The sequence below is a fragment of the Homo sapiens genome, chromosome 2 (assembly GCF_000001405.40).
Source record: "Homo sapiens chromosome 2, GRCh38.p14 Primary Assembly".
In the NCBI taxonomy this organism is placed as follows: Eukaryota; Metazoa; Chordata; class Mammalia; order Primates; family Hominidae; genus Homo; species Homo sapiens.
In genome coordinates, this window is record NC_000002.12 from 7,353,408 (window position 1) to 7,379,786 (window position 26,379).

The 26,379-nt window shown below is 42.0% G+C and overlaps 1 long non-coding RNA gene across 1 annotated transcript, besides 1 other annotated feature; it reads left to right on the forward strand.

Moving 5' to 3' along the window:
• Positions 3,071 to 3,875: an enhancer, noted in NCBI's record as "H3K4me1 hESC enhancer chr2:7496609-7497413 (GRCh37/hg19 assembly coordinates)". NCBI's record gives its function as "activates a minimal SCP1, AML or CMV promoter by ChIP-STARR-seq in primed H9 embryonic stem cells {active_cell/tissue: H9 hESC(primed)}" and the evidence as "EXISTENCE:reporter gene assay evidence [ECO:0000049][PMID:30033119]".
• LOC107985847 (uncharacterized) lies at positions 14,622 to 25,247 on the forward strand. Its single transcript, XR_001739269.2, has 3 exons — positions 14,622 to 15,849; positions 18,722 to 18,827; positions 19,161 to 25,247. It is a non-coding gene; the product is annotated as an uncharacterized LOC107985847 (long non-coding RNA).
• The last annotated feature ends 1,132 nt before the right edge of the window (positions 25,248 to 26,379 follow it).

Below are 26,379 nucleotides of genomic sequence, written 5' to 3' on the forward strand. Positions count from 1 at the left end.
TGTGTTGAGCATCTACTAAGAATACTGGTGATACCAACCTAAGTAAGTCATGGTTGCCATTATTAAAATACTTATAATCGAATAAAGTGAGTCATATACGCAAATAAATCACAGAAAACAATGTGTCACATGGGCTGACAATAATTGTCTGCACAAACTAGAATGTGGGCCAACGAGGGAGTGGTTCATTCCATTTGGGGATGTCTGGGAAGATGCCATAGAAGAGGTAACTTTAAGTAAAGACTCAGAGAAATGAGGAGCTACTCATTAGAGGGATGACTTTATCTGCAGAAGAAGTATCCCGAGAAAAGGCCAAGGCATGGGAAATCTTAGCGTGTCTGACAAATTGCAAGCAGTCCAAGGGGGCCGTGTGGTGGGATACCAAGTGTGAGGATCAGTAGCAAGAAATGGGTGGCTTAGAAGGCAGAGGCTCAACCATTGAGGGTCTTTTAAGCCTTGCTAAGGAATTTATTTATCTATTTATTTGTGGTAGCCAGTAGAACTCTTTTCAGGGTTTCCACATGAAATTCCTTTAACACTGACAATGCCTCCTCATTTTTTTAGGAAGCAACACACAGCCATGTTCTGTGAATCTTTTCACCATGTCCAGACCAACTGGCCGTTCTTCCTTCGGCTGACCACATAATAGCCTCATTGCTCTGCCCTAACCCTAACCCTCACTCTAGCCACACTGGCATGTGAGGACCTAGTCACAGCTTCTGTTCTAGACTGCTGTCCTTCTTAAGGGCGGCAAAGGACGAATTCCATCTCTGTCATCACAGAGCCCAGCAGAAGAGTCAGAAGTGTTAGATACTTATAGAATGAAGAAATTTGAACGGCACATTTCAAAGGAATTAAAGCACTGCCTACTTCTCTAAAATTCCATAATTTAATATAAAAGAGATCTATTAACCATGACACTGAGCCAGTATATTAGTTTGGTAGGCTACCATAACAAAATACCACAGACCAGGGGTATTAAAAAACAGAAATTTATTTTCTCACAGTTCTGGAGGCTGGAAGTCCAAGATCAGGGCATTGGCTGGTTTGGCTTCTCCTGAAGCTTCACTCCTTGGCTTGTATAATGCCCATCTTCTTGGTTTGTCCTCACATGGTCATCCCTTCATGTGTGTCTGTGCCCTAGTATACTCTTTTTATAAGAACACCAGGCCGGGCATGGTGGCTCATGCCTGTAATCCCAGTACTTTGGGAGGCCAAGGCGGGGGTGGATCACCTGATGCTGGGAGTTTGAGACCAGCCTGACCAACATGGAGAAACCTCGCTTCTACTAAAAAAAAATATATATATACAAAATTAGTTGGGCATGGTGGCACATGCCTGTAATTCCAGCTACTTGGGAGGGTGAGGCAGGAGAATCGCTTGAACCTGAGAGGTGGAGGTTGCAGTGAACCGAGATCACGCCATTACACTCCAGCCTGGGTGACAAGAGTGAAACTCCGAACTCTGTCTCAAGAGAAAAGAAAAAAAAAAGAACAATAGGGTCACACCCATATGACCTCATTTTTACCTCAATTACCTCTTTAAAGGTCTTTTCTCAAATACAGTCACATTTCTAAGGTACTAGGAGTTAGAACTTCAACATATTGTTTTTGAAGTTCTAACTCCTAGTACATTGGGAACCTGAGGCTCCTGCTGCAACTCCTGGAGTCACCTACTCCCTGGTGCTTCAGGTAACCGAGACCACCATGCTCAAGATGCTATGGTGCATGACTCAGCCCATAACATCTAGATAATGTGAAAAATAAAAATGTGAGTCACAGCCCCTGTCCTCAAGCTTCTTACATTCCAGTTTAGCTACAAATTCACAACTCACGGATCCTTTTGAAGTGTATCTGGCATCCACTATCAGTGGAGGGGATGAATAATTGTTAAGCACTCTGCATCCTTATTTGTAAACGATATTATAGCGTTCACTCCACAAGAGTCATTGAAAAAATTAAATGAGAATAAACATATCAGTGTTTCGTGAACAGCCCTATATTATAAAATACTAACCAGGCTATGATTTTGAAATATTTATTGATGTTTTTCCTTGTTTATTTTTCTTCTGTTATATATTTCCCACTTTTCTCTGCAGGCAATAATTAGGCAGCAGAGTCTAATTTCTGTTGGTTGTTTCAAGGATGGAACTTACAGTAAAGGAAAGTGGAGGGGAAGCATTTTATCCTAGTTTTTCTGTTTCAAATGTAAGGCCTTTAGTAAAATGGAAATGATTCACAATAGAAAACTTTAGGCAAGAATGTGCCAAGTGTGAGGGCTCCCCCATCCCACTCTCCTTCATGGGTGACGCCTAAAAGTGGGGTTATGAGGGAGGATTATAGGGAAGTAAAAAGACAACAGAGTGACTTTCCAACAGACTTTCTTTTCCATGCTGAAACAGAAAACAAAAGCTCTGTTTCTTCTGTTTTTCTGGACAGAGACCAAAGCAGCAAACCCTAGACTCTTGTGGTCCGAGGGGCAGGGGTGCCTTGTGCCTGAGCCTGAAGATGTAGGGAGGTCCAGAGAGGGCGGGCTCTGTGTGGGGCAGGTGGGCCCCGCAGGGATCCCTGCACACGTACTGTGGAATGGAGCCCAGGCCTGCAGAGTGGCTCTAAATCAGCAGAGCAAAGCTGGCTTCGAGCAGGTTCTGCAGATGAGGTTGCAAATGTCATTTCAGCAGTCACCGTGGATGGATTATCAGGAAGCTGTGTCGCAGATTGCTGGGGGAGCATGCGGCGGCCTTTGGGGCCTGCCTGCTGCTCCCGACCCCTGGATGCTGCAGAAATCATGAGTTCTGAGAACTTAGACACAGCCTGTGAGCAATGCCAAGAGCTATACATTTTTAATTAAATCAGGTGTGTTTCTGTCCGCCCTTCCTTCAGTTCTAGGAATTAAAATGCTGAGTTCTGGAGTTAAACAGGTACTTCACCCATGCTGGGTCTATAGAAAGAGATTCAGACACCCCATGATATTTTAATATTACAGATGAAGCTAATTTAATTTGTAGGAAACCTGTCTCTACTACACCCTCAAAATGAAACACTAATTACTCTAATAGTTTCTATTGCTTTTATCGGATTGGCTCTAATTTTTCTATATGTATCCTAATTGGGACTCCAGGAGTTGAATGCAGTTCCTAAGAATGGCCGGGGCCCACACGTGGCAAGAAGGTCCGTGGGCTCCTGTGCTCGTGCAGGAAGCCCCATGCACAGAGGCAGGGGCCAAGGAGAGCAGGAAGGTTCCAGACGGCCTGAACACAGGGCTTACCTAAGAGTGACGGAGGCAGGTCAAGAACACAGGATGAAAGCACCTTAGAAAACTTCAAGTGCTGAGAGAAATGGAAATAGAAGAAATTGGCAATACCCCTTAACTTCTTGACTCAAGTGTGCCTGCCCCAGGTGGCCTCTTTAAAGCTGTGCATCTGGCTTGTGTGCATGGAGGTGGCTCTCCGTGCTGAGGTGAGGATTCACTGCCTCGGGTCTGTTGGCCCTACCTCCACCTGCCCGAGTCTGCAGGAGGCCTCCTGTAGAATGTGAGGGGACTCCCTCCGCTGAGGGACAGTGTGTCCTCTGTGTGGTCTGGAGAATGTTGGGCAACATGCTCACATCTCAGTCTTTGACTCAGGGTGGCTGGAGCGCAGGCAGCAGGCTCAGGTTCCAGGCAGGCTGTGCTGACTTTTCCTCACTGACCTTGTCCGCCGCCAGGTGGACTGAACTCCCTGCCAGGTGGCCTCCCTGTGTGTGTTCAGCAGGTGGCCCTGGGAGCAGAGAAGAAAGGAGTTCTGTTTGTGACTCTCAAAGAGGCCAAGCTGACAGGACCAACTCTGTTCAGGGACTTTGTTTTCCTGCTCCAAGCTTCCAGGGTAGCCGATGATTAACTGAGCACTGACCTTGTGACTTGTACTCAGGGCAGGCTGGCTGGAGTCCATGGGAAGCAGGTGTTCCCCCAGGTGACACCAACAAGGAACATAACGGGGCCACAGACACAGTCACAGACCGTAATGATGGGTCCAGGCTGGGGTCCAGCACGTTCCTAGATTCTCACACTCCTGTTCTCCGGTAAACCATGGAGCAGAATGGCTCAAAAACACAGCCTGGGGCCACTTTGCACACTCTCAGCTGCAGATGCCCAGAACTAGGGCTCCCCCTGCACCTCCTGGAGTCATCGCCTTCCTAGTGCTTCAGGTAACTGAGACCACCAGGCTCAAGGGCTGCCTCCTCCCCGTGGCCTGTGATCATCTGAAAGCATCCCGGGGTGCACACTAGTCTCTGATCTCACCGCCCTGGGCCTGGCCTCTCTGCTCAGTGGAGGAGCAGGGGACTGTCCAGGGCCTTCACATAGCCTTAGCCCTCAGCCATTCCTTCCTATCTTGAGGGCATTCTTTGCCTTTTCCTCTCCTTGAATAGGATAGGAAGTCATTTGTATCAAATCCTCCAGGGCTTGAACCTTTACTCTCTCCTCTTTTGCCTCAACGTTTCCCCTCTGCTCCCCTGGAAGCTGCCTCTACTTTTGGCCAGATTTCTAGAGTTTGATGGCCAGGTTTGGCCTAGTCCAATTTTGCGGGTTTTGTTTGTTCGTTTGTTTTTACTGTCTCTACTGAGATATCACTGGCATACCATACAATTCACTCATTTGCAGTCTACAGTTTTATTTTATAATTTATTCCTAAGGTTGTACAATCATCACCACAATATAATTCCAGAACATTTTCATCAACCAAAAAAAATCCGGTACCCATCCTCAGTCACTTGCCACCACCCCCAACCACTAGGGGCTTATTCTGGAAGTGTTATCTAAATATACTTATATAATAAGTAACATTTTATGTCTGGCTTCTTTCACTTAACAAAACATTGTCAAGGTTCACCCATATTGTATCATGTAGAAATCATTTTTTATTACTAAATAGTGTTCTATTGTATGGATATGCCACATTTTATTTAGTCATTCATTGACGAACACTTACATAAAAGTTTTCATGAACATATGTTTTTATGATTTCTAGACATATACCTAGGTGTTGATTTGCTGTGTCATATAGTATCTCTGCATTTAACACTTTGAGAATTGCAGTTATTAATATATAAGTTAAACAAAATAAAAACGTACTTTCAGAAAAAAGGTAATCTTCCTTTTTCTGTATGGAACCAATCACAAATTGGCATTTCCTGGGAAATATGGAGAATCTTGATGTTTCTGAGCCTGCAACAGTGGGCAGGTAGTTGAGAGAGATGTGCCTCTTTTCTGCCTTCCATCTGCCTGTGGACTGAGAGCCTTGGGCTCAGAGGCAGGGCAGAGGCAATAATTAAAGTTTGCTCACAAAGACTGGGATATTTGGATTAGCCTCAGATAGTGTTTTTCTCACCTATAAGACTGAGTAGGGATGACATCCCTCTTTCACATGTTTTGTTGTTGTTGTTTTTTTTTTTTTTTTTTTTTTTTTTGGTGGCGGAGTAATGGCATTTGTGGATGCCATGGGTTCATTTTGACATGTCTGGTCTTTGCTGAGTGAAAATCACTGTCCTTCCAGAATAGGCTTGAGCAAGTTTACTTTCCTTCTCATCAAGGCTGGCGTGAGCGATAAGGAAAGAGGTCCTGGTCTTTGTTCTCATTTCCACATCTGCCCTTGTGGCTCTTCTTCCCCTGGTGCTGCCCCCACTGGCGACCACAGCCCTGCCCTTGTTTTCTGTGCTGGTTGTGTTGCCGTGACTAGGAGAGAGCCTGGGTCTAAGTAAGTGATGATACGTGCTTTTTATTTGAGTGAACCAGTGACCCCTGTCACCCAGGCTGCAGGAGTCAGCTGACTTTGGATGTGCAGTAGGATACTTCAACCACAGTAAGGGCTCATTTGAGAAAAGAGGCAGTAAGTTTACAGCGGCTCTAATCTGCCATGCTATGTGTAGCTGCTATGATTAATAGTCGCCACCGGCTTTTGTGAAAACATGAGACTCCCTCTATATTTTTTAAAACTGCACTCATTCCAAGCTTCCTTCTAGCTCAACAGCAGGAAAATTAAATTTAGTTCATCTATTAAACTCAATCCAGTCCAAAAACTTTCTAGTACTTTTCTTTTGAAGTAGAGACTGTATTTCCCACTTTAAAAGAGAGGAATATGATGTTATTTGTGTCTTATACCACTATCAGATGACTAAAAACCTTTTACTTTAGGGCGAGGTTGGACTCTGCATTCCTATTGCTAGCACAGAGCTGTGGTGAGTCAAATTGGAGCCTGAGATTTTGATGCTTCTTCATGTTGATTTTTGGGTTAATTCGGATTAATTGTATTGCATTCAAATATTATTCATGATGACTGGTTTCTGGCATCCCTTTGTTATATACCTGAGAAAAGTGAGGGACTTTGTTAACTTGGTATCCTCCATGGCCTAGCATGTAATCAGCTCTCAGTAAATATTTGCTGAATTTGGGAATTAAGAAGAGACTCATGATTGTGGTTTTTGTTTGTTTGTTTGTTTTGCATCTGGACAATCTCTGTAGACACTGCATTCTCCAGGTAGTCTTCAAAGCCAATGCACAGAATCCGAAGATACAGGTCATGCAATAGGCTCCACCCAGTAAGGCATAGTAGCACTCATGGGATCCACAGCATTCATGGAGTACAGATGTGGGGGTTGTGAGCAGTTTGGGGACTAGAATGCTCTCAAGTATACACCTTTAGGAAACTAGGAGCTTTAACAATTCTGGGTCCCATTCCCTTGGCACAGTGAAGTTAAAAAGAGAGCACACTTTAAAGCAAATCATGGTTCAGAGCAGTGGAGAAATGAAACATGGACTTGGCCCTAGAAAGAACTGGGCACAAATGCTGACTCTACCGCCTACTGGCTATGTCACAGGACAAGGGATCTGACCTCCCTGAGTCTTTATTTCTCTGTGTAAACAATGGACCCAATCCTATTAATTTCAGATAACTGCATGGAGAACTGCATGACCATAGGGTAAGAGGCAAGTGCACACATGTTATGGAGAGAATCTTCAATAAGGGGTGTCTTATAGCACTGCTAAGTTCAGTGGCCACATGAGAACTTATTTGAATGATGACCGACTGTTAACCCGTCAACTAGTGGGATCTACCCTGATGGCTCTGGGGCCAGCAGCTACTAAACTTACACCAGAGTGTATGTGAACAAAGACTAATTTGTAATTTGTGCAATTTAGTGTTCACATCCTCCAGAGACATAGCTGAGGTTTGTGCTATGGCTGCCAAGCACTGCCATTTATTCCTGCTGCAGCTAGAGCTGGGGCAGAATCCAATCTCATCACAAGTACTTTAGATTCCTTGGAAGAAAGGGTTTCTGTTGAATATTAATATAAACTGTTATTATAGATACCCGCCAAAGTCGCCTTTTTATTTTGTATCTCATCAGAGGTTGTAAAATAAAACCTTCCAGGAAATATGCAGTTGATTGGCTTTGTTTCATTCCAACAATGATTTGCAAAATTGGGACTTCAATCTTCTTGGATGTGTACATTTATATACCTGACATCACATACCAGAGAGAGTTAGGCTGGGTAAATAGGCTTCCATTTAACCCTGGGTCACTAATGCTTTTCCACTGGCATGATGCATGATGAAGGGATGAGTGGGCTGAAGTCAGACATAGCTTCAAATATGTGAGCTTTGTTGGCCTTGGGATGTCTGGGCATTTGAAGGAAAGTTTGCGCAAAGGGAAAGTTCTCCTTCCATCTCCTTTCATTTCCACTGCTGGGGTTAGGCTCTTTTTCTTCTTTTCCTCTGTGTTTGCAACACATTGTCTTTCCTTTGCCATCTGGCTGTGTTCTCTACTATTGTTCCCTGGCCTGGAGATTCTCTCGGCTCTGTCGACAGCTCCTTCTTCTTGTTTGCTGTGTGTGTGTTTGTCTTTCTGGGATGAAGTTTGTTTTTCAAGCTCTGACAGACTGGCAAGGCAAACAAGGTTGCCATTTTTGTTTTGTTTTGTTTTTATGAGTATGGCAATTTTTAGCCCTTTGAAAACAATCCGGAGACTTGGGAGGTTATAATTCGGGATGCCATGTGTATAGGCATACATTCAGAGCTTATTGTGGCTGAGGAAACGAACTGAGGAAAGGAGGTGGAAGACAGATTAATGTGGATGATTTATAAATTGTAAAGGGACCAAGCTCCTGACAGAACTAAAAGATGAAACAGCAGAAAGGGAAGGAATTTTAGAGAATATTTTGAAAAGTTAATGTTGAAGAATATGTTTATGTCTGTATATACATATGTATATAGAGTGCATAAATAAACATTGCATCTCACACATACACTTACCTCCTGCTTATATATGTCAGGCTTCTGGCAACCTCATTCTTTTAGAATCCACAGGAGTAAAGACAAAAGGGTCCCTGAATGTGGTAAATAGTGATCTCAAAGTTATGCCGTAGGCATGGGACACACCTCTATCTCCATTTGGCAGATAAAAAAACCAGAGGGTCAAAGAACTTCCACAACTTGCTTCAAATGAAAGAGCTGTGAAACCACAGAGCCAAGGGTAAACTCTAGGCTTACTTTTGGATCCAGGTTGAACCTGGAGGCCTCAGTGTCAGAATGATCTCAAAAGGTGCAGAATCTGAGATACATCTGTGAAATCCCACCACTTACCTCTAGATATTAGCAGTTAGTCCCATGAGAAGCAGAGTTATTCAAAAGAAGGTCTTAGGACTGGGTCTAGGCAATGATTTTCTTTAAGGATGCATGCAAAGGTAGAGGTCATTTGGGAAAGAAAATTAACAGCATACCTTAGAGCTCATCTTTCTTTACAACAGTCCTCTCTTTTTACTATATATTTCATTCTCCATTTAGACATGACAGCTCTTTGGGAGTATGAGATGTATTTATTTACAGTAATTTTGACTTAGATCTTTTTACAAGTCTCATCTTTACCATCAGTTAGCTGTTTTGGCTATGAGGACACCCATATTTTAAAGGTGAACGTTACTGAATTCTCAGAGTCATATATCTTGCTTGGAATCTGATCACACTGCAAGCCTTCATCTTTAGAAAAAAACAAAGAGGAAACTAGTTGTGAAAGTATATTGGGGATTTAAGAGCTAAACAAGAGAAGATTATTTTTACTATTATGAGTAAAGTACTAATTTTTGCAAAGCAGTGCCAGTAGTGGATCCAAACCAAGCCTGCCTCTCTGGTTATGGCCTATGGTTTCCTGAATCCTCAAATGACATAAGAACATGTCTGAGCTTGAATACTCAACCCCAGACTTCCTAAGAACCTAGATTTGATCTGAAATTCACTAACTCCAAATGATGGAATGGTCTCCAACCAACACAGAAAAAAATGTTTCAGAGTTACTGTCTTTTGTTATAAGAGTCTACACCATTTCTGGTAGAAATTGATGTTATAAAAACAACACATTCAAATGGTAAAAGTGAGTCAACATGTTTGTAAGCCCTTTGAAGGCAGAGGCTGCTGCCTCTCTACTGCTTACTCAGCTCAATGGGCTTCAGTAGGAGGATCTCATTGCATGAAGTCTTCTGGTTTTGTGGAAAAGTACTTCATTGGCTTGTGGCGATGGTCCTGGAGAAAGATCTCTTCCTTCCCCACCCCCCTTTCCTGTTTTATACTTTTTAAATTTTCTTTGGTATTAATGAACAAAGAACAGTTAAACACCATCAGTCAATTTATCATAACTAACTGTTCCATCATTTGGTAATGAATAGTGTAAATGACTGGTAGGAGAATAATAACAGCAGTGAAGATATTATGAAGGACCTTTTATATTCTCAGCCATGTAGATGAAGCTACACGGTACAGAAAACTGACACTCCATTGAACACACTTATTTCTCAATGTGAATACCATATCCACAATAAAACAGAAAAAAAACCCAGGGCTGTCAACTGTGTTTTGGAAAGTGTTCATGGGAAGACACAAGCATAACATGGAGGTGTTAAATGGCAGATCTGTGATAAATAAATGTGTTATTTTGATGTATACGAGTGATAATTGGATTTTAAATTACCCAAATATAAAGAATAGAATCTATAGTGCAAGAAGTTTAGTTATGAAAAGAATTATTTAAAAAAGCTCTCTCAGCCTTACATACAATTTAAAAATACACACACACACACACACACGCACACACATATATTGGGAATACCCTGAGTTTCCATTTTCCAGTCACAGACTTCTCGATAAAGTATCGTGACAAGTTCATAAAGGATGAAATGAAATTCCTCTTAACCTCTATCTGTTTATGAAGAATGAGGATTAAACAAGAATTTCTAACCAATGAGGCATTCTATAAATTCTTGCTGCTATTGCTTTGTATATCAGTAGCCTAATATGCCATGGAGTAGGACTACACAGCCTCCTAGGAACATGAGAACATTGTCAGAAGAAAAAAAGGTTATGTATAAAAGTATGTCATTCTTTTATTCATACTTCACTTATTCAATGGATGTTGGTTAAACATTGTTATTTACCATGCACTCTTTATGGTATGGTTTGGCTCTGTGTCCCCACCCAAATCTCATCTCGAATTGTAATCCCCAAGCATCCAGGAAGGGACCTGTAATCCCCGCATGTCAAGGAAGGGAGGTGATTGGTTCATAGGGACAGTTTCCCCCTGTTGTTCTTATGATAGTGAGTGAGTTCTTATGATACCTGATGGCTTTCTAAGTGTTTGACAGTTCCTCCTTCACATGCTGTCTCTACTGCCACCTTGTGAAGAAGATGCCTGCTTCCCCTTCTACCATGATTGTGAATATCATGAGCCGCACCCCAGCCATGCAGAACTGTGAGTCAATTAAACCTCCTTTGTTTATAAATTACCCAGTCTTGGGTAATATCTTCATAGCAGTGTGAAAACAGGCTAATACACTCTATTTCATCCTTTCAATGAATTTTGTTATTTAATCTTTACAATAGCAGTAGGCGAGTGATACCAGCATTATGCCCATTTCAGACTTGAGGAAACTGACATACATAATTTGAGAAACTTGGCTAAAGTCATGCAGCCTTCAAATAGCAAGCCTGAGATTATCTCCTGTGAGTGACGTGCACGTCAGGCTCACTGAAACAGAAAATGGAGGGCCTGGTCATCTCAGGATCTGATTTGTCCTTGAAAGATTTGGCCTCTGTGTTTGGGAGAGTCTCCGGATGGTTATAACTTTGTGATAATAAATGGCTGATGGTAAATGTGGGTGTTATGATCAAGCAAATTAAGATAGAAAGCAGAGATGTGGAAATAAATTATTTCTATCTGGATACTCCATATGGATCTCAGAAAGCTTGAATACAGATAGAGGAGTTCTTAACAATGAGAGATTTAGAAACAGGCTTTGATCTTTTTCCCTTTCTGGTCAACTATGTATTTAATTCTTCCTAAACTTTCATTAAGTTTTATTGCATATACTACTAGTAGCATAAAGGTAAATTTGAGTAAACATAACCTCTGAGTTTTTATGAATCCAAAGTCAGGGTATCCTAAATACTAACAGTGTTCTTATTCAGATATTTTGCAACTAATGAGGCCTTTATGATGGTAATGTTTCCTTCTAGTAAGATTAAAGAATCATACAATAAAACAGTCCACATTTCTGTATGGAAAAGCTATCTTCCACTACAGGTTAGTGCAAAAGTAATTGCGGTTTTTGCCATTAAAAAGTCGCTTTTGCGCCAACCTAATATTATTTCAAACAATGGATGGTAACAATTTTATGCAGGCTCTCATCAATATGTGAAGATCATAAATGGAAAATAGATTTAAAAAATACTACAGGCAGAAAGTCAAAAAAGGTTTATCTGATTTTGCACTCATGACATTTAAGATGAGAGAAGTGAGGCCGAGCGCAGTGGCTAACGCCTGTAATCCCAGTACTTTGGAAGGCCGAGGCAGGCGGATCACGAGGTCAGGAGTTTGAGACCAGACTGACCAACAAGGTGAAACCCCGTCTCTACTAAAAAATAAGCCAGGCATTGTGGCACATGCCTGTAATCCCAGCTACTCAGGAGGCTGAGGCAGGAGAATTGCATGAACCCGGGAGGCGGAGATTGCAGTGAGCCGAGACTGTGCCCCGGCACTCCAGCCTGGGCAACAGAGCAAGACTCCGTCTCAAAAAAAAAAAAAAAAAAAAAGAAGAGAGAGAGAGAGAGAAGTGAAACCAAAAAGTTTAAAAAAAAAATCTAAAAATACCCAAGCTGGGCATGGCAACATGTGTCTATAGTCCCAGTTACTCAGGAGGCTGAGATGGGAGGACCACTTGAGCCCAAGAGTTTGAGGCTGCAGTGATCTATGATGGTAACACTGTACTCTAGCCTGATTGACAGACTGAGACCCTGTCTCTAAGAATAAATAAATAAAAATTAAAAAAATAAAAATAACCAAAAATATGAGATTGATGTCTGTGTGTAACCTAAATTCTAGAAGAGGATCTTCTTCCAGGTTATAGGAGTTGAAGAATATTGGCACATTCCTAGAAGGTGTGGCAACATGGCCCCACAGGACATGATTAGTAAAAGAAAAGTGACATAGGGCAGGAAATCCTATTCTACAAATATTTTCAGTTTTATATACTGATATTATACATTAGGCTGATTCTGGCAATCCCTCTTTAATCTGTCATTTTAATATGGTTGGTGATATTGAACAACACAAGTGAATTTAAATATTGACATAATCAATGTGGTAATGTGATTTAAAAATGGAGGAAAAAGATAATTTCAAAGGAAGAGACTCATGGCAAATGTGCCGTGGCATGATAAATACTATGGGGCAGGAAATGTGTGCCCATGGGAATCAGCATCAAGGACAATGAGATGAAAGCCACAGTTTTGGGTTGTCTAAAGTTACTAGTTACAGTGGCAAGATATGATTGCAAAAGCAAATTAAAATATCAGTTATCATATAGAACATAATGAGTAGCACAAATCCATCTTGGACTCTTATCTGATAAAAGTTAATAATTTATTAATATGAGGACGATATCATTATTAGTGGTTACTGTCCTAATATAGTAATTGGTAGAGAATAAGGAGAAAATCAGCCATTGCAAAAGAGTAGGAATTGAAATGAAAATATCTGAATCCTAGTCTTTGCTTCATCATTAAGTAGCTATGTGCCATGCCTTAACGTAGAATTAGTGAAAGTTCTGAAAGGTAGAATGTGAGCAAAAGTCTTTTAAAGAACTATAAACAAAACACAAGTGATTTTCACATCCAAGATTTTATATCGGGTATTTTAGCAAAGATATTTCTTTTGTCCTACGTATATCTCTTTTTTGTTTATTTATTTAGGATGTAAAATATGTACAGTAGTGAGGCATTGAAATGTCATTAAGCCTTGTGTTATGGTTTATATACCTTAAAGAAAAAGGATTTGAAGAATTTTACTAATCTCAGTTGCCTCTCAATTGCCCATGATGATTATCAGGTTTTGGGAGGGAACACAGTCAAGTTATCCAGTATTATACCAACCCTTAAGTTAAGAAATAAATCATAAATTTTAGGGCCAGGCGCGGTGGCTTATGCCTGTAATCCCAGCACTTTGGGAGGCTGAGGTGGGCAGATCATGAGGTCAGGAGATTGCAACCACCCTGGCTAACACAGTGAAACCCCGTCTCTACTAAAAATACAGAAAAATTAGCCGGGCATGGTGGTGGCTGCCTGTAGTCCCAGCTACTCAGGAGGCTGAGGCAGGAGAATGGCATGACCTGGGAGGTGGAGCTTGCAGTGAGTGGAGATCGCACCACTGCATGCTAGCCTGGGTGACAAAGCGAGACTCTATCTCGGAAAAAAAAAAAAAAAGAAAGAAAGAAAGAAATCATAAATTTTAATAAAAATAAAAATAAAAAACTGTACAATGACAAAAATCAAACATATCAAACTTAGAGGATTCATCTTAATATTTTAAAAAAGAGTTAATAAACTTAAATGATTATATTTTTGAAAAAAGTTTGAAAATTAATAAGCTAAGCATCAAATGTATAGAGAATGAATTATTAAAAAAATAAAAAATAGAAGGAAAGATAGGAAAGGCCAGAAATGAATGCAAAACAAGATACAATGGTCACATTAATAATGCTACAATGTAATTTCCTAATAAAAATTGATAAACCTCAAATAAGATTTAATAGGCAAAAATGAGAGAAAGTATAACCAAATATTGGGAATAAAAAAGAAAACATTGCTAAATAGATAGTAGAGATCTAAAATATGAGAATATTTTGATCAACCTTACATCAATACATTTAAACAAAACAGAGAAAACAGAAAACTTTCTTAAAATAATAATGTTCCAAAGCAGACTCAATAAGAAATGGAGAAAAAGAACAGTTTTATAAGCATTGAAGAAAATGAATTAGTAGCTCAAAATATTTTCAGGAAGGAAATGACAAGCCTAGACAGTGTGATAAGCAATCTCTAACATCCTAGGAATAAATAATTCTAATTATAGGTGAACATTCCCAGAGAGTAAAAGAGGAGGGAATATTTTCCAATTAATTTTGTAAAGATGGTACAACTTTGACACCAAAACTAGGCAAAGTTAGTACAAGAAAAAATATTAAAAGTAAATTTAATTTTTAAATATATGTGGGAAAAATCTAGAAAATATTAACAAACCATATCTAATAATGTATAGAAAAGATAATATAAAATGAAACATTTTGGTTTATTCCAGAAATTCATGATTTAGTTTCACATTTAAAAATCCATTAATACAACTTACAATATTAACACATTTAGGAAGAAAAATGATCTTAATATACATAGATAATTTTCTTAACATTTACCATCCACTTATGATAAAAATGATTAGTAAAATGGAAAGAGAAGAAAACTGCCTTAATATATTAGAATATTTCATTAAGTAGAGAAAAGTTAAATAATTTCCTCTGAACTCAGAAAAAGACAAGGATGCTCACCAGGACACTGCTATGCAACATTTTACTAAATATTTAAGCCCAAGATATAAGACAAGAAAAATTATTGATAGACTGGGAAGTCAAAAACAATATTGTCAGTATTTGCTGATGCTGTGATTTTCTATAAAGAAAACACAAATTTCTATACCTTTATATAGAAATCATTAGCATTATTATAAGCGTGTAGCAAGACTGATGAATTTGAAATCATTATGTAAGGGTCAACTGTACTTTTCTACCACATAGATAAACTACCCAAAAGATGGAAGGTAAAATACCTAAAAATAAGTCTGATACTAAATAAATGCATCTTATTCATGAAAAAAATTATTAAGATATTAAAAATATTGAAAAGGAGTTAAATTCACTGAGAGCTCATTCTAATGCATAAAAATACAGCAATGTAAAGACAACAGTTGTGCACAAGGATAGAAATAGGTGAGTGGAACAGAAAATAAGAACCCAGAAACAGATCAATGGTCAAAAAATTTCAATACATGAAGCCAGAAAAGATGTATGATTGTATGGAAAAATAAAAGAAGATTTCTATTTCAGACTCTACACACAAATACATCTCATATAGCTTAAGGTTTATATGTGAAAGTAATAAAAAACTCTTTCATATCTGTATGTTTGGTACCCAGAATACTCACTACTGTTGAGGTCGTGGTGCAACACTGCCTGTGCAGGAATGGAGACAGGTTCAGGAATGTCCACAGCAGAACCGGTTGCTGCAGGAGACTGAAAACCACCCAAATGTCAATTGAAGGAACACAGACAATGTTTAGTAAAGAAAAAAAAAATACCGTGGCTGCAATCACTATGTAAAGCAGGAAAGATCAATGAATTATAGGTGCCTGACATCAACATGGAAAGAAAGGTGGAGTGGAGAAAGAAAACACATTGTGAAGAACAAATACTACATAATTGCGGTTATATAAGTTTCAAAAGGTAATATGTTGTTTAGAGAGTCATACTTTTATGAAAAAGTCATTCTTATTTAAATAGGAAGGGATGGTAAAATCACAGTTGAGGAGAGTGGCCAACTCCACACTGTGAAAAAGGGGACTGAGCCAAGAAGGGCACAGGCGGCTTCAAATGTTTTGACATGATTCTCATTCCTATCTGAGAGTACATGCATGAGACCCCATTTCAACTGCATTCTCCTATCTATCCATCATCTATCTATCTATCTATCTATCTATCTATCTATCTATCTATCTATCTATCCATCATCTATCTATCTATCTATCATCTATCTATCTATCACTTTATAATTAAAACAAGGAAAGAAAGGAAGGGAGTGGAGGCGGGGAGGAAGGAAGGTAATGGGATATCCCCTCATTTCTCCCAGTTCATCTTTGAATCTAGTGCAAAGAAACTGGGAAGACATTCACAAGTTTACAAGATCACAGGGTATCTGAGTGGAGTAAAGGAACTGAGAGACAGAGCCTCTGGACTCTGTTCTGCAGAATCAGGAGGTGAGCCTGGGGGTTAAAGAGCTGAAGGAGAGCGCAGGACACTGAGTTGGGGGCCAGGAACATAAGAGCTTTGGGTCTACACCAGGGAATGTGTCTAGTCCGATTGCAGAGGACTCTGAGTGAATTTTGCAGGAAGGAGCCGGATCAGGAGGAAGTTGCCTTCTGAAGTGCCTGGATGAGCCTCCTGGGCAACTGATGAGAGAGCGCAGGAGGAAGTTGCCTTCTGAAGTGCCTGGATGAGCCTCCTGGGCAATTGATGAGAGAGCGCAGGAGGAAGTTGCCTTCTGAAGTGCCTGGATGAGCCTCCTGGGCAACTGATGAGAGACAGTTAGGGCCGCAGACAGCTCCCCCAGCGTCTGCACCTCTAGCAGGACTGGGGGCAGTCAGCAGGGGTTCTTTGGTTTGTAAGCTCTGCTGGGAAGAGGGGTCCCATAGATTGCGAGATGGCTGGAGGGGTCCTTATTCTCAGGACCCCCACCCAACTGGCCTCTGCCGCCATCTGAAGGCCTTCCAATCTACTTCCCACAGGTGCCTGATGGCACTTTCTGGCTCAGATATCAGAATGCATTATTTCCCACCCCCATAACACACACATACACACACTTTAGTGTTTTCAGGACCACCCTTAGCCTTCAGAATAAAATCCAGACTCAAGGTGTGGGATGTGGACTTTCCCATCTGTATGGCTCATGACATCCCCTCTGACCCTATGTCCTTTATTACCAGAAAATCAGAACTCCTTGATTTTCCAAGCATAAGCCATCCTCACCCATGCCTCTGATCATGGGTGCTTGTTGTCACCCTGACCTTAGTACCTTCCTGTCAAAGCTCATTTACCCTTTAGGGATCAGCCCAAGCACCAGAACATCCTTTCCTGGATCCTTCAGACTGATTGGGCCTCCTTTTCTCTGCCCTACTGTCCCTGAAGCAAATCTCCTGGAGAGTAGTGATTACCTGGCACTATCATTCTCACCGCTAGGGTAGGAACCTGGTGCCTTCCAAGGATTTTACATTGAACTAATGCATAAGCTTCACCATGAAGTCATTCCTGAAATACAAGAGAAACCGTCTTTTTTTCCCTGTCCCTCTGCTTCCATTATCTAAGGAATCAGATCTTTGGCAATGAGGGAGACCAACAGGACATCCTGGTAAAGTTTGCAGATGAAAAGCCCTAATCAATGACCTTGAACTTGAACCATTCATAAACTCAATATCCAGATCTTAGATTTCTTAATAACAAAATGATCAAAAACAAAAACGCTCAGGAATACAAGGAGCCTCCCTGCAAGCCCCCGCCTTGAGGGCCTTATAATCTGAAGACTCACTTTTTGAGAGTCACTAACCTATACAAACTTCTAACTCTTTGCTATGGACCCCCAATAGCGACAATAAGCTACCACAGGCTCCATTTATTATGACGAAGTAAACAGCCCAGTTGATTAATGAACGACGCGTGTAAGTGAAGCAGAACAGACAATTACGGGTGAAAACAATGCGTGTTTTGGGGTTCCAAGGAGAAATAGATCAATATGGTTTCATATAGGTAAGGAGCACAGCTAGAGGCAGGGAGTGATTAATGCGTTCCACAGTGTTCCACGGGAGAGTAGCTTGTGGCCAGACTCAGAGACATTAATTAGCGGAAGCAGGAGGAAGTGGAATGCACAGTGCACAAACAGTAAGAGGACTGATACAAAATGGGTGAGGGCTCTGAGAGTCAGAAGAAAAGTCAAATCAATGTGTCGGCAGCAGTTGTGCAATAATTTGACATCTTGGTAGTTCTTTCCAGTTAAAATAATGCAGGTTATAATAAGACTGTCATCTTCCTGACAGTTTTTTTTAATCCGCTTTATTCTCAGTTTTGCAAAAGCACTATTTTGATGCTGCATTTGTTCATTCGTGTATCAAACACTTTAAAACACCTCCTCTGGGCTTGATGTGACACTGAGTACTAAGTATACGAAGATGAGTAAAACATGGAAAACACAAGGAGAAGTAATCAGCATTCACAGGTTGTGATGAGTGCTATCAGAGAGTACACAGAAATGCTCTAATGCCAAGATCGAAGCACCAGAGCCAGCAGAGTCCATGCAATGCACAGAATCACAAAAGAACTATCCCTGAACAAGAAGCCAGACCCTGGTCTCAGCTCCGCTACTGATCAGCTCATCAGCGGGGGCAAACCATTTCCCACTCTGGGAAGACAAATGGAGACTGGAAATGGGTGGAATAACTTAAGGAATATGCTGGCTCTAGGAATCCAGGCCAAGGCCAAAGACAGTCACAATTTGTAGTGCCTCTGAGCCACAAAGAACCAATAGCACTTCTCGTTAACCTTTCTACAGAAATTCAGAGCTCCTGGAGCCACATGAGGAGGCCCACAGGTTCATGCAGACTTTCTCGGTCTACTCCTGAGCCTCACAGCATACCTGAGGCCCCGCAAATGTGCAGGTGGGTCTTGATCATCCCAGGCTTTTGCTCTTGTGTTGCCTCTGTCTGTGACATCATTTCCCCCACTGCACCTTCTTCTCCTGGAAACAGCCCTACTTCTCCTGTAAAGCTCCTTTTACCTGCTAAGTGGTGTTATGATGATCTGTTTCATGCAGTTTTCTGTACTAACTTGTATGACTTTTCAAGGCAGGGGCTCTGTCTTTGTCATCTCTGGATTGTAATAACATGACACAGTGCCTGGCACCTTGCGTGTGTGTGTGTTTTTTTATTTGAGAATGCATGACATGAACACACTATACAGCCTAAATAAATCCCTGTTTTCTTTTATTACAGCCATAAAGCAGTTGTAAAATGAAGAGGAGATGGTCTGGGTGCTTTGACATAGTGGGTGGATGTCTGAAGGTGAAGGTGGGACCGATTTTAAAGGAGGTGTCTATAGGAGCTTCCAGGTCCCCTAAATCCCACTGGCTCTGCCAGTGTTTGGCCTTCAGGTCTGTGAACTTGTCTCCCGAGGACCCCAGGGTTAACTAGACTCAGGGATGCTGATCAAGACAAACCAATCCCCCAGACACCAATGGTCATAACCAGAATCATGATTTATTAATTTGCAGGGGGAGCTGCATCTGTTGGAAAGACCAGATACAGACACTCCTGTAAGACTATCACAATCCCTACCTGTAGAAAAGCCCCATGGGAGCCAAATCATAATCAGAGGGCTGCTTGTGGAGAATGCAACCCAAGCAGAGAGATGTAGTAAAGGAAAAAACTGTCCTTGGCATCAGGCTGAAACCACTGGGGGCTTCTACCTTGCAACTGGCCTCTATCTAGGCAGGGGCACAGTCCTCCTCTGGCAGAGTTTGGATGGGCACCAGCAATTCAGACATGTAAAATCATGACCATAGAAAGCCACCCAGGCTTGGGATTAAGTCCCTCTACCCATGTGGTCTTCATACACTTAACTTCATCTGTGAGGCTCAGCTCCTCACCTGTGAAATGAGAATAGTGGTAATACCCACCTCTAGAGTGTGCGAAGATTAGACATGGTCTGGAGAAAGCAACTGGCTCAGAGCCTGGCACATGGCAGGTGCTCTACAAATGGAATGTTCTCACATTCACCCCAGGAGTCTCCCCTCACAGATTCCCCTTATCCAGGCTTGTGCTATAAATAGGCTTCCATCAAGTTTAGATGGCTTGGGAGCTCTGTAGTCCCTTTAACCTGGCTTAGCCTACTGTTATACAGGAATGGTTTCCAGGGGAAGGGTTTTCCTAGCCTCTGGGTCTCACTTCTCCCCCCCTTTTTTTGATAAAAATGTTCTAAATTTTATTGAGATAATGGTGATACAACTCTGTGAGTACACTAACAAAATTGAATTATCCACTTTACATGGGTAAGTTGTATGGCATGTTAATTATATCTGAATGAAGCTATTAAAAATAAAATGAAAACTTAACAAAGAAAGGGGGGGAAGAGTGAACACTGATTCCCATGAATATTTAGTTCTAATAGTGAAAATTATACAGAAACTTACATTTTAAAATAATAAACTGTAAAAAATAGCAAAACAGCAACAATTTGATTATGCTATTCCTTCTCTTACAATGTTGCTTTGAACATATCCACTATTTTGATATTCTATTTTGAATGACCTCCAGGTTATCACACTGAAGAGATGGTGTCCCAAAGTGAATTTATGGCCCAAGATGGAGTGTTTCTCTCTCTTCCCTTGTCCTAGACAGTCTTCTTTTACAGATGCAGTCAAATAGCTCGGTAAATCCTGCTTTCCTCTCTAAATGCTCACAGAACACTCTTACATTGGTGAGTTCTAAATTGCGGACCGGAATGGGTATCAAACAATATCCAAATCACTTCTCCCTTTTATTCCCCTGCTCCTTGGAGGATGGTGTGGAGCTGCTCTTCATGGATGTCTTTGGTTTGGGGAGGCTAAGATCCATGCTTCCATGAGGGATGGTAGTTAAATGCCTAAACCTGGCATCACACTTCCTAGCAGGACCCTTGGGCTCTCACACTGCCTATGTCTGTCAACATAGACACCACAGTGATCCAGGGCTTATCTTGGCTTCAACCTGCCATTCTTTTATTTTAGTTCTCAACTTGTTCTGAACCCTGGTGAAGAAAAATTTCCCTATCTACATGGAGATCCTTCAGAAACTCAACACCGACCTAAAGTCTCTATTATTCTGCACTGTTCTAAGTGTTGAATTTGTAGAGTGTAAATACATTTGCTTGTTTTAAATTTCTAGAGAAAACACTCTAGTATTACCACTAGCCGCCCCCACTCCCTGCATTGTCAGAGCAAGTTCAAAGTATGCACCAAGGGTGATGGGGACCATGGCACCTGCAGCTCTAGAGGAGGCCACCATCCATGCCTTTGCCACATAGCCTCCGAGACCACAGCCTTCAGGGTTAACCCCTGAAGACACTAACAGGGCCCTAAGAAAGCACTGGCATTGCCTTGTGGCAATAACTAGGAGGAAACCTGGGAAGTAACCACAGGTCCTGTGCATGTGACTGTCAGCTCTATAGCTTGCCAGCTAAACAGCCTGGATAAATCATCAGTATTATATGTTTTAGTTTTCTAATCCACGTTATTTGTAGAAATCACCTGTTATTCTTGGTGAATATTAAATTAAATAATTCATATAGAGTGTTTACCACAGTGCCTTACACATTGCTGGTGCTTTAGTACATAGTAGTTTACTGTTATTATTTCTCATTCTCCCACACTGACCCTGAAGCCTTTAAAGACCATTGTTCGACTTTGTGTACCTGTGACCTTGGATTCTCCAGGCCTCACCTGTCTTTCATGCCCTCAGTTATCTGCTGGATCCTGGAATCAGAAGAATGGCCATATCCAGGGCATAAAATCCCACTTTCTCAGTAGCTGCCCAAGGACTCAGGTGGCCCAGCCCAGAGGTTCAGGGGAGCTGACATCCTGCAAGACAAACTGTGACTCATGGGGCCCAAGAGCCTGGGGAGAGCCAGGAAGCACACCTTTCTCTATTCTTCCTGTTGAATGCCTCCCAGGTGTGGTGTTACTGTACCTTTTACCCAGAGATGTCCCATGGGATGCCCAGAACCATGGTGAGTCTCTGGGAAGCAGTGGTCAGCTGGGTAATGCCCACTTTGTATTTGCCCTTCTTCTCTTGTCAATGCCCTGTTCCTTCATCCTGGCTTCTCTGGGATTGAAATAATATGCAAACATTGCCTCAGACTCTATTTTCTAGAGTCTAGCCTAAGCCAGGCCCTACTCCCTTTTGTATCTCTGGTTCCTAGAACAACACTTTACGGAGAGTTAGTGCTCAGTGCCTGTTTATTGACTTGAAGAATAAAAGAATAACTGATCATCTGAATGCCAAAATGAATTAATGAATGAGTCTTGTGTTCACGCCAGTATTTCCACTGGACAAAATTCTGAATTTCTGAAGAGCCTCAGTCTCTCTGATTGTAACACACTAAAGGAAAGCAACACAGGGAAAGAAGAGAGGAAGAGAAAAGGTGGCAGGAAGAGAAAGAATCCAAAAGAAAAACTGCCTCGCAATCCCAATCTGTTCCAATTGCCTTATTTGCCGAGTTTTCACTTTGGGCCAAAACAGTACTAGTTTAGCAAAAGGGAGACCAAGGCTGGAATCACTTTTGAGAACTGAGGGCACATGGAAGATCTCTGATACAATGAATGGTGGATTATTTTTAATCTGGAAAAATGTCAAAAGCATGAGCAGCTCAATGCCAACCATCCAACTTCATGCAAACCTTTAATTAGTTATAATACTTGGAAGCCTTTCCTGGGATGCTGTTTCATTGCCAGTGAACTCACCATGCTCAGTGCCTGGCAACCATCTGGTGCTGAAGTCACTGGGTTGGGAGCTGTAAGCCAGGCCTAGAGTCCCTGCCTTGCCTCCCATTCCTTGTGTGACCCTGGTGTGTCTCTTCCCTTCAAGACCTCTGCTGCCCATTGTGCAAAGTGAGGACAAGAAGTTCTAACCTTCCCTCAGTCTATGGCTGACAGTGAAGCATCTAAATCACCCACATGTTGGTCTGTAGAACGCCTTCATTATTTTGAGAGACTGTAATATGATGGAATTTCGGTTTACTTAACATAGTCTTGAGAGGGCTTTCTGAGCAGCCCTGCTGTGCCTGCAGACCAAGGGAAGAGATAAAAGGAGTCCAATACAAAGGCCGGGTGGTCAACAGGGCTTGAGACTCCAGAGTGTGTGAGAGACAAGAGACATTTGGGCCTCCAGACCACACTCTAGTTGCCCTGGAATAAATGGAACGGTCCTAGCTGCCATCCAAGGCAGCCAGCATGTGTATCTTGTTCAATGTCAGGCTCATCGAAGCTGGCCTTGGAGTGAGCATTTCTCCATTTTCTCTATGAAACCAGAGTTGGTTGAAGCATTCAGGGCATGGGCCCCTGCATTGTGCACATGAGACTTCCCTGTTGTTCCTAGAATCTGCTGCAACCTTTGAGATGATAACATCCAAAATGTTTTTGCCCCTTACACTGCCTTTTTTGAAATTTCAATGATTTTTTTTTTTAGCTGAAAGACAGAATGACCCATTGCTGATGTGGAGGTTTTGGTGTGTTCTCATTAGGGAAGTGGTACAACCTCTGAAGACTCACATCATTTCAGAGTCTGAGCCTTGAGTGGTCTTCCCTGCTCAGTGGAGAAGATATTGCTGGAAGCTGACATACTTCTTTATCTCCAGCACATTTCACTCCTGCAAATTGGCTTCCTTATGTTGTCATCAGAAATGACCATTCTCATTTTTTTTCGGGGCATTCTCTTCACCTGGAATGTCTTCCCTGATGGACCAAGAGATTTATCCAAAATCACCAAAAACTGTCATCAGAATCAGCATGGCTTTCAGTCAAAGACCTATCTGGCAGGGCACCCTGCCTCTCCTCCAGGCTCCCACTCCTCCCGTCAGATGACACCTACCAACAACTGATCACTCCACCACCTTGGCCTTGAGATTCGTGGGACTCAGGCCCTGCCCTTAGAGGTTGCTATGCTGACTCTGTACTCTGTGTTTCTCAGAGGTTATTTGGTGACTGATAGCATCAACTTCATGTCCACAGGCTTGTTGAGTTCACACCTAGGGTGCCTGGCTCTCATTGTGTTTGCTGTAATAAATAATCACTGGGTTCTTACTGTATCCAGCTCTGTTTTGGGAAATGAGGAAACAGATCATGCTAAGACTGGACCATATCTTCAAGGAGTTCAGAGTCTACGACACCTCTATATGCAGTGGGGCATGCATAGGAGAAAAAGAAATATTCTGTAAGGACAAAGAAAACAATTTCATGACGGCACTGAAGATTTTGATCTCTCAAATAAAAACACTCCATTAAAGCAAGGTATAATTATTTGGAGTCTAAAATAATTTCATATCATAGAGAAATATTATGCAGCAAAGATGGGCAACTGGCAGAGGAATGCATACAGATGTGTACCAAGAAACACCATATATCTCTACTGCATGTGGTGCAACATTTTAATCAAGTCAAAGACTCTCATGCTTGGGTTAGAATCTGTTGGCATCCACACCTGTGAACGTGACTTGTCATGGTTTCAACTGAAAAGATAGCGGCCCAGGCCTGCCTGGGGATGCACTTTTTGGGTGATGGTAAATGTGCTTTTTGTGCGAGCAGATAGCAGCCTTGCCCTCTGTGTGTGCATACCTCAGACTTCTCTCTCCAGAGGACTGGAACTTGCGGGGCATATGAGAAGACCCAGGCTCTCAGAGCAGCAGCAGCTGTCCTGGGCTCTGAGCAGAGATTAGCGAGGCTCAGGCTGCATTCCACAGCCTCCACCCCCTGTACTTCTGGCAGGGCGCAGTCCTACCTTTCAAACACACACACACACTCAACTGCAGGTGAGGAACTGACATTGCCCTGGGAGTTTCTGTCTTTGCAGAGGAATATTTTGAAAACATCCACTCTTGCTTTCTCCACACTCCCATCCAGTGTGCCTGGCTTCTTCTGCACAGTGCATATTCTGGCTCTTTGCCAGAGGCCTGGAAAATCCTGCCAGGCAGCCGTTCACGCAGTTGCCCCCAGGGGCAGTGACTGACCAGGAGTGAGACACACCACTCTCAGCCCAGCTGTCTGCTCAGCGCAGCTCAAAGCACTTGTACCTTGAGGGAGAGAAACCCAAGCCACACGTCCTGACAGACTGTCACCTGAGTCCCTTGGAAAACACAATCAAGAGCTTCCTGCCCACTCATGTCCCGAGCTGGCCGGGCTCAGTAGATGCTGTGCCGCCAGCTCCTGGCTTAGCCGGCCTCCCTGGTGCGTCTGCCCTCAACTCTTTGTGCAGCTGGAGTCCCAGAAGGGAGTAATAATTAAAGAAAACTTTGTAAATGTTCAAACTGAATAAAACTGTTGTTGTTGCTCATGGTTCCTTTTCTTCCTTTTTTGCCATCTGGAGCCACAACCTGTCCGGTTTGCAAGCCCAGATCCACGTCCTGTTTCCTCCCGTCACTTGTCTGTCGATCCTCTTCACTGGTGGTTCTCCGCAGAGAAGGGATTTGCTGGTTATTTTTGTCCCCTCCCCTGCACGCCAGAGCCCTGCGAAGCTCGTCACTGTCCTGGCTCCAGCGCACCTCCTCATCTCCCTGCTTTCCATATGCTTTGAAGATATTCCTGCCTCTACCGCTCGTTTGCAAAGCCATGTGGCATGTGTGTGCGTGTGGCTGCCTGGGTTTCTTGTCATTGCCACTGAGAAACTGCCCATCTGAAGGGCCAGAGGGCCATCAGAGTCAGGCTCTGCCTACAGCCCTGGCTGCTGTCTCAACTTTAAAATATATATATATTTTAAAGTGACAAAGGAAATGAGTGGATGAAGAAAAAGTAACAAAATAAAAATCACACTAATCTTAATGAATTAAGGCTTCAAGTTACATAGACACTGCAAGAAAGTATAAATCACCCTGTCTATGCAAGAGTAAAACCAGTATTAAGCTAAATCATGTCTTCCAAAAATATATGTGAAAGTCTTAACCCCAGAAACTCAAAATGCAACCTTATTTGGAAACTAAGTCATGTTACAGATGTAATTAGTTAAGTTAAAATGAAGTCATCCTGGAGTGAGGTGGGCTCCTAATACAATAGAACAAGTGTCTTTATAAAAAGAAGAAAATGTGAAGGCAGGTGTCCACAGAGTGAAGACTATGTGAAGACAGCTATGTGGGGATAGAAGCTGAGATATGAGTTGTGTATCACAAGCCAAGGGAAGGCTGGGGCTACCAGTAGCTGGAAGAGACAAGGAAGGAGATTCCCTTAGAGGCTTCAGAGGGATTATGACCCTGCCAGTGCCCTGACTTGACTTCTAGCCTCCAACGCTGTGAGAGGAGCCATTCCTCTTATTTTATGCTACCCAGGATGTAGTACTTTGTTAGGGCAGCCCTTAGGAAACTAATGCAATGAGAGTTCCAGCAGAGTACAATAGCCTCTATGTAAATAGTGGTAAAACGTATCCTCGTTAATAAAATTACATTGTTCAGCCAACACATACTTATTCAACCTAT